The 13,334-nt window shown below is 36.9% G+C and overlaps 1 protein-coding gene and 1 long non-coding RNA gene across 8 annotated transcripts in view; one reads left to right on the top strand and one right to left on the bottom strand.

Moving 5' to 3' along the window:
• FGF12 (fibroblast growth factor 12) overlaps positions 1 to 13,334 on the top strand; it is a 588,152-nt gene that overhangs the window by 442,649 nt on the left and 132,169 nt on the right. The gene's annotated exons all lie outside the window — the stretch shown is intronic.
• FGF12-AS1 (FGF12 antisense RNA 1) overlaps positions 1,796 to 13,334 on the bottom strand; it is a 44,468-nt gene continuing 32,929 nt past the window's right edge. The window contains exons 4-5 of the long non-coding RNA NR_046596.1: positions 1,979 to 2,096; positions 1,796 to 1,895 (exon numbers count right to left, since the gene is read on the bottom strand). This is a non-coding gene — a long non-coding RNA (FGF12 antisense RNA 1). The remainder of the gene's footprint in view (positions 1,896 to 1,978; positions 2,097 to 13,334) is intronic.

Genomic DNA, 13,334 nt, shown 5'->3' with positions numbered 1-13,334 from the left:
GTGCTTGCTGCATAACACCAGGGCCAATGAGTTAAAATCCAGCTTCCCCAGTAGTTTTCTAGGTGACTCCAGGAACTTATTTCAACACTTCCAGCCTGTTGATTCTATGACTTTATGAAAGCCAGTGCATTACATTAGAGCTTGTCTAGATTTCATTGCTTTCTGAGTTAATTGGGAACTTGAGATTTGGAGTTTTGTTCTTTTTATTCTCTAGCTCTATTGATTTGCCTTGAGAATCATGACAAACATTACTCTCTCCCTGTGGAATGCTAGATAAAAGGCTGTTCTGCAGTGTGACCTGCTTCTCAAAAATCAAATAGATCAATACATTTTGTTCTTCCTATTTTTTTGAAAATCTCCTCTCCCTTCTGTCCCCATATCCTGCATTTAGCTAGAGTCTCATATCATTGGGAAGCCAAATTGCAAAGGTAATACTATGTTTTTTACATTTGTGTTGGAAACTTCTGGTGTAAAGATTATTTGAAGGACAGAGTAGAATATAGCAGCAATTGGGGCATATTTTAGCAGATATCTCAAAGAATTATATTAACCAGATTTACATTTAAGAATATTAATTGAACATCCACAATGGGCAGGGTGCCCTGTGATCATCAGCATGTCACCAAAGGTAAAATGCGAATATTCCATGATCCTCCTCATCAAGAACTTTCCAGTGTAGAAAGAACGTTGAGGTTTGGAGTAATGATTTTCTAGGTTCTAACTAGTAGAAAATAGGGACAAGAGTGCAAATGGGGAGCAAAGTACAGTTTTATTATTAGTGGCAAGTGTCTAGTAGCTGGAAAAGCTGCAATGCAGAATTCAGTGTTGCTCTAAGACAGAGTGTGGGATTATTTCTGAGTATCTGAATTAGACCTCAGAGCCTACCTGTGGAGAAAGCTGTGTCTGTAAGTGATCCCAAATGTTCTTATGCATTCAGCTTTGTGGAATTTCTCTGGTAGAGCAGGAAAGAAGGAGAATTTCAGGCTTTTATGTGTGCACTGAGATTGAGAGAACCTGGGCTCTGTTTTAGAAGTGCTGACCACGTGGAAATAGGAGAGGAATTCTTTGTCACTATTCAGGCAGTGATATAAAATAGTGCTTCCCCGACTGACCACTCTCCCACCACCTTTTAAACCTAAATAGCCCTATTCATTTTTTACATGGCCCAGTGCATCAAGTTTTGACTAATGAGATTACCTACATCTCATATGGAATAAAGATGTAGGAGGAGTGACTGAAAATCGGCTTCTCTGTTGTGGCAAATAAAGGGGTGACAATTTACCCTTCTAAGGTAAAATGATATTCTCTCCCAACCAGGAGTGATAACATGTGTACACAAATAACTATTCTAACTAAAATCTCCTAAAAACTGAAATCCTATAGCTATTTAATTATATGTGTGTGGAAATTATTTTCAATCCTTTTATGAATAGAGCTGAATATAAATGATCAAATAAATGCCTGTGCTCAACCTTATCCTTTAACGAAGAGTTTAGTTGCCTCTCTGATGTCAAAAAATTATTAAAGATAATAATGTTTTTGTTTGGAAAGAAAACAAGGTGAATCACAATGTCCTACCCAGAGTGAATCACAACTGACAAAGAACTTTTCATACTGTTATTACTATTATAAATAACATAAATAGTAATAGTTCTTCTAGACTGTGGTTCCATATGTTCTAGCCCCAGACTATGGTGGTTACATTCATCTAATATTTTAGATAACATTCAAAAATATGTGTTATGCCATTCATGTCACGAAAATTTTTCTCATACCTGTTGTACCTTTACATTATTTTTCAAAGGCCAGTCCAAGAGCCACTTCATCTGGGAAGTCCCTCCCGGTTTTCCCTCACATACAGCATTTCTTGATTCTAGGAAACACTGTAATACTGCCTGCAAAACATGGTCATCCCTTTTTCAACAGTACAAGGCATCCATTTTATCTGTTTATGTGTATATCTCTCACGTCCACTTACCTCATGGGCAGAAATTAAGCTCTACATGTCTCTTCGCTCTTCCTGAGTAATCACATCTGGTGCCTTATTTATAGTATATACTCTCTGCACTCTCTGTGCAATTTCTGTAGACCTGAAACTATTCAAAAGAATGAACTTCTTAATGTGGGAAACAAGAGTAAAATATTAATTCGAGGTCATATTGTTATATGTGTTACAGCTCTCTCTGTCTCTCTAATATATACATATATATATCTAATATACATATATCAGATAAATATTAGATATACAGAATCTGTAGGCATAAAGGCCTATGGAGCTTTTATATTTGACCCAATTAATTGACCTAGAACTCCTTGGAAGCCACAGTGAAAACAAAGATATAGTCATTTACATACTTACTTTTTGATTTTGGTACATAGTACACTTAGCCACTCCTTAAAGAAAATTTTCAAACATCTCATAGTGGGAGTATGGAGGGACGGCACACAGTGGAAGAGAATCCAAAACAAAATAGCTCTTTTAGCATAAATTATTTTTTGACTAGAGTAATAAGGGGGCATGTTGTGTATTTAAGAATCTAGTAATTTTGCATTCTCTTCTTTGTCATCCAGTTTCATTCATTCATTCAGCCAAGTTCATTCACTCATTCATTCATTTACTCAAAAAATATGTGTTGTGTTGAGTACCTACTATGTACCAGATGTTCACCTAGATATTGGCAAGAAATCTGAGAACAAATGGAGCTTGCATTCTAAGGAATTAATCAGACAATTGTTCAGAAATATTTAGAAGATTGAAAATATAACCTACCAATAAAATACACATTTTACTAACTTATGATTAAAAACACCACCTATCACTTACGAATGTTCTTCAAGTGGATGAAGTGACTACCTACAGCAAATGAATGAGTAGTGTGTTCTCTGTATGTCATGGCAGTCAGATGAGTGTAGGTTAATTCTCGTTTCTAATTTACACTGTTATTGGAGATTTATGGAAACAGTTTTGCAGGAAATCTCCAAGTAGACATTTTCATACTAGCATCTGCAGTATAATCAGGAAACGATTACAGGAAGTATGAGGATTTGAAACACTGAAGCCTTTGCACTCTAGGATTGCATAAGGGCTATAGGGAACAGCTTTGGGAGGGCTGAGGCACATATTTGTTATGTTTTAGGTAAGCCCTGGATGCACTGTACTCAGAGGATTACCCCTAATCCTTTCACCTCAGTCCTTTGAGATCGCTGAAAACTGTTTGCCCATGTGTTGCTAAGTGCCCAAGCTGAGGTCACAGTGCGACCTTCGGCAGCATGGAGACATCTGTGAAGTCATTACAGAGATTATGTGTTTAATATAGGGTCTCTCAGAGGTGTATGTCAATGTCAACTTAATGCCAGGCCACAGTATCTCCACACATGAATAGTGTCCTCCAAATTCATGTGTACTTCGAATCTCAGAATGTGACCTTATTTGGAAATAGGCTTTCTACATATATAATTAATTAAGGACCTTGAGATGATGTCATACTTGATTCAGAGTGGGCCCTCCATCCAATGACTAGTGTCCTTATAAAAGAAGGAGAGATGCAGAGATACACAGGTAGAAGGCCGTGTGAAGACAGAGGCAGAGGGTGAAGTGATGTGGCTACAAACCAAAAACACCAAAGATTTTCATTAACCCCCCAAAGCTAGGAAAAGGCAAACTAGGATTCTTCCCTAGAGGATTCAGAGGGAAGATGGCCTTGCTGACGTTTTGGTTTTAGAATTCTGGCCTTCAGAACTGTGAGATAATAAGTTTTTGTTGTCTAAGCCACCCAGTTTGTGGTGATTGTAGTGGCAGCCCCAGGAAACTAATATACCCCACACACTGAATGTGAGAGACTGCAGAAAGTGTAAGGAAAACTGCACCACAAATTTCTGAGGCCCCATCATTCAGTGTAGTGAGTAAGTGGAGAACAGCATTTCTCTTGTCAAATCCTTTTTGTAATGAAACAGAATTTTCAAGAATAAATAAGGCTTCAAAAAAGGCCTAAATTTTACATTTTTAAGACAGACCTTCTGTGGAAATATATCTAAGATATCACATCAAAGCCTCAAACATTTGAACTAAAAATTACAATATTTTAGCTTATATTATTGCTATTTATCCTGTTGTTTCTGGTTTTATTCTGCACCTCTCAACGGTCTGTTGTCACATCCTAGCTCTTCAACTAACTGATTAACTTTGGCAAGTTACTCTTTCTGCCTCAGTTTCCTCATTTGTCAAATGAGGATGATAGTTCCTAGATATGGGTTCGTTGTGAGAAAAAAATAATATCATAAATGTAAAGCATTCAGAGCAGTATTTTGCACATAAGAAGTGCCTAAATCATGTCAGATACTATAAAAATTTCTGCTCAGCGACTTGAGATTTGCTTTGAAGAGGCACTAGTAATACAACTATTGATTTTACAGTAGCAAAAGACTTATGTGACAAGAAATGAAGTTATGAAAAATATTTTATAATTACAGATAATTATAATATATATGGAGAGAAAGTAAAATATTGAGTTATTTTCTAATTTTGTAACTAGTAAGTAAAGAGACCAAATACCATGTTTCATATTTTAAACTCTGAATTCTTGTTACATTTCTTATTTAATGCTAAGCTATGACAAGGAAATAAATGTGTTATCTGCTCCATTAACTAACATTTGTTTGGAAAAAAACCTCATTACATTTGCAAAGTAGGATTTACAAAACAAGCTGCCAAAACAGCTGTGCAGTTCTAAAAATAATAATAATGAATCTATGTATAACCCCATCACACTCTCTTTAAAAAAACACATTTAGGCTTCTTTGATCTTTGAAACTGTCTTTTATTTTCATCCAGTTGACATGTTATAAAACATATTTTTGATTGCATGTTATGTTCAGATAGCATTTTTTCAAAACTATCTCTTATGTAAATGTAAATTTTAAAAATATTTCATCAGCCCTGCAGTCAAATGCAAGGCTAAATTGTTTGCATAATTTAATATGCATTAGCTACCCACCACACACATATTCTTTTAGAGCTGGAAATCAAATTCAAATCTGGAAGGGACCCTGGAGACTCTCTAGTCCATTTCCTTAATTTAATCGACATGGAAACTCAAGCCCAGAAAATGTAAGTTATTTACCCCATGCCACACAGCAAGATAGTGACAGACCTGTTGTGCTGCCCTCCTTCCTTTTTAACTTTTGTTTTATTGTTTATGATACAGCTGAGTCCTCACAAATTGATCTAGGGGAAATCTCATTCAGGATTTCTGGTGTAGACGCTGGCTTTGCTGCTCACTCACTATATCATGTGCCTCCTGGATAGGACTGTAGGCTCTGAAGCTCAACTGACAGGTGTAATTGCTGACCATATCACTTGCTGGCTGTGAACTTTAGTATCTCTATGCCTCTGTTTCTTCATCTATAAAATGGGGAATATAATAGTGACTACTTCATAGGGTTGTTATTAGAATTAAATGAAATAAATATGTGAAATGCTTAGAAAAATGTCTGGCAGTTCATTCAATTCAAGCAAGCTATTGATTGTCTTAAATGCTCTCTCTTAGAGTCATTTTCTTTACCTATGAAATGAGAGACATATTTATCTCACAGAGTGGCTGTCTAGGTTAAATAAAGTTCTCTATGGGAATGTACATTTTATATATATATATATATATATATACTCATACATTAACCAAGCATGACTTATAAGGTAAAATCAGTATACAAACTGATCATTTTCTTTAACTGTCCTTTAAAAATTTATGCATAAGAAAAATTTTCCCATGTCCATGGATGAAACTCATCATTTTTCTTCAAGTTGTAAAACACTTATTCACTTAATAAGTAAATTTCCCAGCTCAATATAATATAAACACTTCCTTCGTTATTCAAAGGTTATTCATTCCACACTCTCATCCACAATCAGGCCCTAACTGTGACATTCTTGCAGGAAGGCCACCAAAAATTTTAGTCACCCCCACTGCCCAAACCAACCACCATGACTGATATCTTCAGGACTAGTTAGACTATGGAGAGGGAGGAGCAGGAAGGGAACCAGAGAATTGTTACTTGATTGGTACTTCAGTAAGAATCTGGGGGTAGCGCTTACCTACTGTAGTTAAGGGTTTTTTAGAGACTTCCCTTTGTGGGCTCTCCAACTGAAACTCTGTCCGGTCAGTGATGACTTCTCACCTTCAAACCACTTTTCCATCAGCTCTTGGTTTTCCACTTTCTACCATATGTAGGCTTTTCCTATTAAAGCCTCGTTTCCTCTTACCCTGTTCTCTTGCATTGGAGTTTTAAAAGACTCTAGGCTGGTTCTTTTTTGCCATGTGGCCCACATCTATTCTAGAAGTATTATACACTCATTCTCCTCTGTCTTGACCAGCTTTGGGAATGCCGTTCAGTCAAAATATAGGATGAGCTCCTTGCCCTTGCTTTCTACGTTCCTAGGTGGGACTATATTTTGACGTTGGTGTACTGTGCTTCTCAGTACAATGGGAAGAAGATCAAAAACTCTCCATGGCCCTATTGAAGCCCTTTCTCTAGGTTTTAGATGAAGAAATTACCAAGCCCTACTCTTAAACTTTCTATGTCTTCCTTGTAGAATTTAGAGCAGTGTAATCAATTTCTGTGTTACCTATTTTCAGATTTCTATATTTTCTGGAATAAAATTTTAGAGTTCATATCTATTCCCTGATGCCTTAGTCAAAGTTTGTCATTTAAAAAAATCCTGTTACATACATAATGTCTATTCATCAATATATGTTAACATAGTGATGATTTTCAGTCTTTAACGTAGGTAAGCTGACTGATTGGTAACAGCGTAAAACCTTTAAAGGAGAAATGTGGCTGGGCGCGGTGTCTCACACCTGTAATCCCAGCACTTTGGGAGGCTGAGGCAGGTGGATCACGAGGTCAGGAGTTCAGGACTAGCCTGGCCAACATGGCGAAACCCCGTCTCTACTAAAAATACAAAAATTAGCTGGGCATGGTGGCAGGCGCCTGTATTCCCAGCTACTTGGGAGGCTGAGGCAGAAGAATCGCTTGAACCCGGGAGGTGAAGGTTGCAGTGGGCTGAGATCGCACCACTGCACTCCAGCCAGGGCGACAGAGCGAGACTCTGTCTCAAAAAAAGAAAACAGGGAAATGTATGTGTACGGGATAGGAGCTGCAGGGACTGTGACAGCCAGATCCTCATACAGATGCTGGGCGGTGGACTTCCGTGCTCTGAATACACGCAAGGAGGAAAGAATGTTCACTGTAAAGACCCATGCAAGCAGTAGTGAGCACTGCAACACAGTTGTAGGTTCTGCAAGCAATACTCATAGTTACCCAGTTAAAAATAGTAAGAGATTTGCCTCTTGTGGACCAAAAACTTCATGTGAATACCCTATAGAGATTGATCAAACAGCTGCCCCCACTGCAGACCAAGCATCATTCTTTGGTTTCCCTTGAAAACCGTCTTTACTGTGTCTCTTGGTTTTGCAATCACAGCAGTTATGCATATGGACAGAAATCTTTACAGAATGCTTTCTCATTCAGCCCAATAAAAGTAATAAGTGTTTTATGACTGCTCCTCAAATTTGGCTCCTCTTACCAACTTCTGGCTTCTCTCTTCTGGCCTAGGCATATCTCTAAAATCTGAATAAACTTGAGATAATATCTTCACTTAGAAACAATCTATTCTTTGATAGGGACAGCAGTGAATCATTTTATCAATGAATGGAGAGTATACGGGCTAAGAGAAAAATTTTCCTCTGCTGCCTTAAGGTTCACTGAAAATTATTGACAAGAGGCAGATTGAGAGGAAAAAGGCATATAAATTTGTTTGATCACAGTTTTACATGACATGAAGCCTTTCAGAATGAAGGCCCAAAGAAGCAGGGGAATAATTTGTCCCTTTTTATTCTTAGGTTTAACAAAGTATGGACAGTATCCTGTAGAAATATGATTGGACAAAACGAATATGATTTAATGCTAATAGACTGAGTAGGGAAACTCAGTAAGACCTGTCTGTCTAGATTTTTCTTGGCCTTTCTGAGTACGTATTCCTTTCTTCTGAGTGTGGTGAGGACCCTCTCTGGAAAGGGAATCTTATTACCTACAGTTAAACAAGGTAGGTCAGATAATTTTTTCATAGCCAATTTTTGTACAGAAAGGTAGAGGGGGCAAGTTAGAGTAATATGTTAAGGTTTTTGGCTGGCTTCAGGGAAATGGGGTTCTGGTTTCTATCACCCACCTTGGGAAAGAAGGGGTCTAGTTTCTATGGCTAACCTCAGGAAAAATTGGAACTGAGAGGCAGGAGGACAGGAAAAGGACAGAAAAAGATTGGATTCTGAGGCCTTCAGTTGGGGGTATTGTTTTCTAACTTGCAACAACAACATTAAAATGAGAATCATTTTCTCATAAGGCACCTTGGTTATCTGTGAGTTTATAAGAAATCATAAATTTTAAAATAAGCTGTAACCAAAAAAGTAGTGAATCTACACTCTAAAACCTTGTCAGAACACATTCAGAACATTGTGATTTGCGCTGGATGATGACTTGAACAAACTTGTCCATTTTACTCAGCACTAAATTTCTAGACTTCATCTAGGTTGTTGTGTAGGCCTGGGATTTATCCATTTTACCCATGCATTTCCTCTTGAAGTTGTGCTCTTGTGAGGGAAAAGAAACTTTAGTGCTTAAACACGTGGACTATATTTTCTGCAGTGACTGTACGACTGGTGAATCAGCTCTCCTGCCAGTGAGCATTTGTTTCCACGTTTGCTTTTTGAACACTGCATATATGAGCCTCTTTAACTCCAAGGTTTGATGATTCTTAATGAATCGCTGACTGTTAACATTGATAATCTAGAAAAGTAAGTAACGTTATTCCATCCCTTATCAGTAGGTGTTGGTTTTATATGGAGTGTTGTGATACATACAAGATGCTGTTGGTAATATAATTTATGTTAGTTTCAGATTACAGGGAAAGGGGTTCCAATCCATCTCAGTGAGGTGACAGTGAGGCAATATCCTTAGCTGGGAGGTTGGAATGTGGAGTTATCTGAACAATGTGGTCAAGCCAATCTCGTAATTTATAATCTTTCATAATTTCCTGGAGAACAATGAGTAAAGTCCAAATTCCGTGGCTTGACATTCATATTTCTTCACATTTTGTCCCCAAAGTACATTTCTAGTTGTTTATCTTACTTATACTTTACTTAACTAAAAAGGATATCTTACCATTCCTTGGGCAAACTCTCTTCATTATTTTTCTATTGTGTTTTCCTGTATTGTTTCTACCAATCTTTTTAGTTCCCACTTAGAAAACACCACCTTCACAAAACCTTTTCTAGTCCCAACAGGTAGATATAATTCTAAAGACAAAATTACAACAGATTTTAGTTTGAAGATCCTAATTGTTTTTTATTTACCATTCTAGAGTCAAGCAATTTTGCATTCTATAAAATAGAATGAATATTTCAATGAGCTGAACAGAGTTTGGTTTTACAAACAGAAAAGGGTAGAGGAAAACATATATAGAAAACAAAAAGCAAATTGGTCTTTTCAAAGTTACTTTACTTGCAAAGGTTAATGCAGGAGGAACTTCCTTATCGTAGTACCTAAAACTGGACTGTTTGGGGATGTGAGTCTCTCCTGATTGCTTAAAAGGTCAAATAAACAACTTAGTTTTGGCTTGGTGATGAGGAATTTCAGCATGAGTGACTCCATCTTGGTTTGGTCTGTTGGGCTTGGTGCAGGAGCTCAGTCTAAACGAATGGCTTCCTATAAATTTTATTTATCTATAAATAAAGTCTGATTACTTATAGATAGCTCTCATGCCAGGTACTGAACAAAAGAAATAATAGATACTAATCATCTTTAATCTAAAACATTAATATGCAGCTTCATTATCTATATTATTTGAAAGATCTGTTTTCACTTTGTTAGGATGTATTTTTTTTCCCTTTGAAAACAGTTGAAGGACCTGTCCTAGGTTCTTAAAGCATAATTTAAAGAAACACCTAAACCATGGACTTTGTACTGATGGCATCGTTGGATAAAGAAAATGTGAAGCCTTCCACAGTGATTGATATGAAGGAAACCAGTTTACTTGCAAAAGCTGTATGTTATTAGCAACTTTGTTTCTTTAGTGCCACACTGTGTCCTTGTTATGTCCTTATCTGAACATCAGTCATGCTAATTTGGACAAATGCTTACGTATCCTTAAAGTATTCACATATTATTGGCTTCAACTTCAGAAAAGCCAGGGGATTAGATAGTAGCTGTAAGTAGAAACCATTTCTTCTATATTCTATCTCTCTCTCTTTCCCCTCTTCTCTCTCCTCTCTCTTCCTCTCTTTCTTGCCAAATTCTTAAACTCTGACGACCCTGGTTTACACCAAATAGTTTTTCTGATTAGCCATCAGTGTGACCACGTTCCTATTTTTATTACTATGTATCTTCTCTCAAGTGTGTTAATAGGTATAGTTCTTGTGAGGTATATAAACAGTAGGCAAATATGGAATTTTTGAAGTACTTTCTCTGTTATTTATTTTTGGTATGGCTTACTCTACACATTTTATATACATAAATACTTGTCACTGATTTTCTCACTGTAATATTTTGGTAAGTGTGCATATTAAATATGTTATTTTACAAAGATGCTTGTATTGGTGGAATTTTTACTCTGCTCTACCTTGATAGGTAATAATGTAATAGGAAGATTTATTCTGGAATTTCAGTATATCTCTGGATATAGCAAATAATCTTTATTAACTCTATTTCTTTTTATTTTTTCTTTAGCAGTACCTTTAAAAATAGAGTATAGAGTGTTTATACGATGTTTATACAAAAGATAATTAGGATGTGTTAACCTTGAGGCATCTATTTTAGGTTTTATGTTTGTAAAAATCATCTTCAGCCTGTATAATTATCTGGCTGATGGTGATCAGTCATTACGATGCTGATGACAGGCATTTTTCACTGTTTTCAGTTCTACTTTTTTTTTTTTTTAATTCACTCACTTAACATCCTGAAGACTCAAATCCTTGAATCAGTCCACTGAGCAGGAAGGACACGGGCAGCAAGCAGACAAACCAGTTCCTCAGCTTGCTGTCTCAAGGTTGCAAACACAAATTGAATCCTCCTATCTATTATTTTTGCAAGCATTTTTTAAAGAAGAAGTTTTATGGGAGTGGAAGTAAATTTTCCGAAGCCTTGACACGCCCAGTGTCAGATATACATCCATTCATTTAATATTTACTGAGGGTGTACCATGCACAAAGCCCCAGGGAAGAATATTTACCACCTTGAGAATGGTTTGCAGTCCAGCTACAGACATGGATGTGCAAACAACCAATAATGCCAAGAGATGCTGCGTGACTCCTCGAGCTTACATCTGAATGCATCCTGAGCTACTGGTGAGGAAGAACTCTAAATATTGCCTAGCATGCAGGACTCTCTTAGAGGCCCTATGTTTGTCTGTGCCCATAACCCAGCTTCAGCCCCAGGGAAACTTGGTCTTTTTGTCTTTATTTTTTAACAAGTTTGTATTTTGTGAAGTTTTCTTCTTTCTCCTTGGATCAGAGTATATTGTATATATTTTCCCTTTTCCACTATAGTGGAAGCTAAAACAGTAGGAATGGCAGTGTCTCTCAATCTCATTCATATGTATAAATACAGAGTGCTTAGTGCAGATGTTTGAATGGATTTCCCCATTAACACATTTATGTAACAGCATAAGTGGTTCAGTAGCTTTTGTTGGAAGAAGAGATTGATTTTCTTATGAAAGGAGTAAATCCCCTCATAGGGAACACTTTACCCAAAAGTGATAAAACTAACTTGCCCTTAGTTATGTGGGAAGTGTGGCTCTATCCACTTCACCTGTTCTCTTCCTTCCTTGAAACCAATCTTGCAAAACTGATTCTAAAAATTTATTCACCATTTTCTTCTCATCTATCGAAGTTTGAAAAAGAGATGGAGGTTGAGATAGATGACATTTTTTCTTCTGAAACTGGAAGGATTTGTCTATAAAACAGGTTGTGTAAGTGATGGCTTCTCAAATTTAGCAAATCACAAGTCAAGGAGCATCAGACTGGGAAAGGATCTTTCCTTACATCCATGAATATTTTTACAATGGCTATGATCAGTTGGGCTATTTTTGGGCTCTCTTGGTGATGGAGAGCTCCCTCTCTTTCAATGTGCACATTCTCTGACACACAGGGAAAAATCAAGCAAGTTGGAGCCTTGTGACAAATGAGCCGCAGTTATCCTGCCTCATCCCTTTGCAGTTTCTTCTTTGTTTTACTCAAATAGGGAAGTATCATTTAAAAGAGTACCAAGCATATCATATAGTCATAGAGCCCCCTTCTCCATTGTTGAGGATTTATATTCATTTAGTGGAGTGGTTTGTAATTTGCTGGTAATTAGGTTCAACTGTGCCCCGTAATCATGCAGCCATATTTCACTGGTTACGTTTTATTTTATTTAAAAATGTTTTAAAGTAGTTTTTTATCTTCATGAAATGGATTACATTTTTACATAGCAATTTCACAAAATCAGATAATATGAAAATATAACCTCCCCGTCCCCTTTCCTTGTCTGCAATGGAACTAAGTTAGGCTTGAAACGAAATGAGCCTTACTTGAAGCATAGCTACCACAAAAAAGCAATAACAGTTACTGAAAATTCCTAGAATAAACTGTGTCTTTATGAAATGCTTTTTTAAAAAAATTTGGATTTGTCTCTGGGTGATTGTTTAATTTTCAGATGACTCCAAGGAACTCGGGCCATTAATTTTTTAATGCAGCTCTCTGAATTTTCCAGGACTCACCATTATTTTTATTAGTCATTCCTAATATCACTTGGAGGAAAGTCAATATTTTTCCCTCTCCTGTCTTCCCAGAAAACCCTAGAACTGGATAAGAGAAATGAGTAGGACCAGATCAGATTCTAGGCAAGAATCACAATTAGGAGATCAGCTTTGAAGAGCCGTTTTAAGACGTCTCAGTAAACCAAGGAGTCAGTCTGTAGCCTGGGAAATTCTGAATCCTTTGGGATACTTCTTTTTACAGTGCTGCAAAACTAGTGTCCTCAGCTTCTCTACCTCTTCCTTGGGACATATTGTATGTCTTTCAGACTCCTGCATTAAGTTGCCTTTGTGTTTGTTTATAAAACATTCAGATGTGATACATGAGAGTGGACTGATCTAATCTGGGGATGAGGGTTGGGAAAGACTTCCCCCCAAACAGAAATATTTGAATTGATATCTAAAGGAAAAATTAGGAGTAAATTAAGTAAAGGTTGGAAGATACCATTAGTAGAAAGAAGGAAGGCAGAGGTGATAGGGAAAGCTAGAGATA

The sequence above is a fragment of the Homo sapiens genome, chromosome 3 (assembly GCF_000001405.40).
Source record: "Homo sapiens chromosome 3, GRCh38.p14 Primary Assembly".
Taxonomy (NCBI): Eukaryota; Metazoa; Chordata; class Mammalia; order Primates; family Hominidae; genus Homo; species Homo sapiens.
This window is presented reverse-complemented; position numbering and strand designations above follow the sequence as displayed.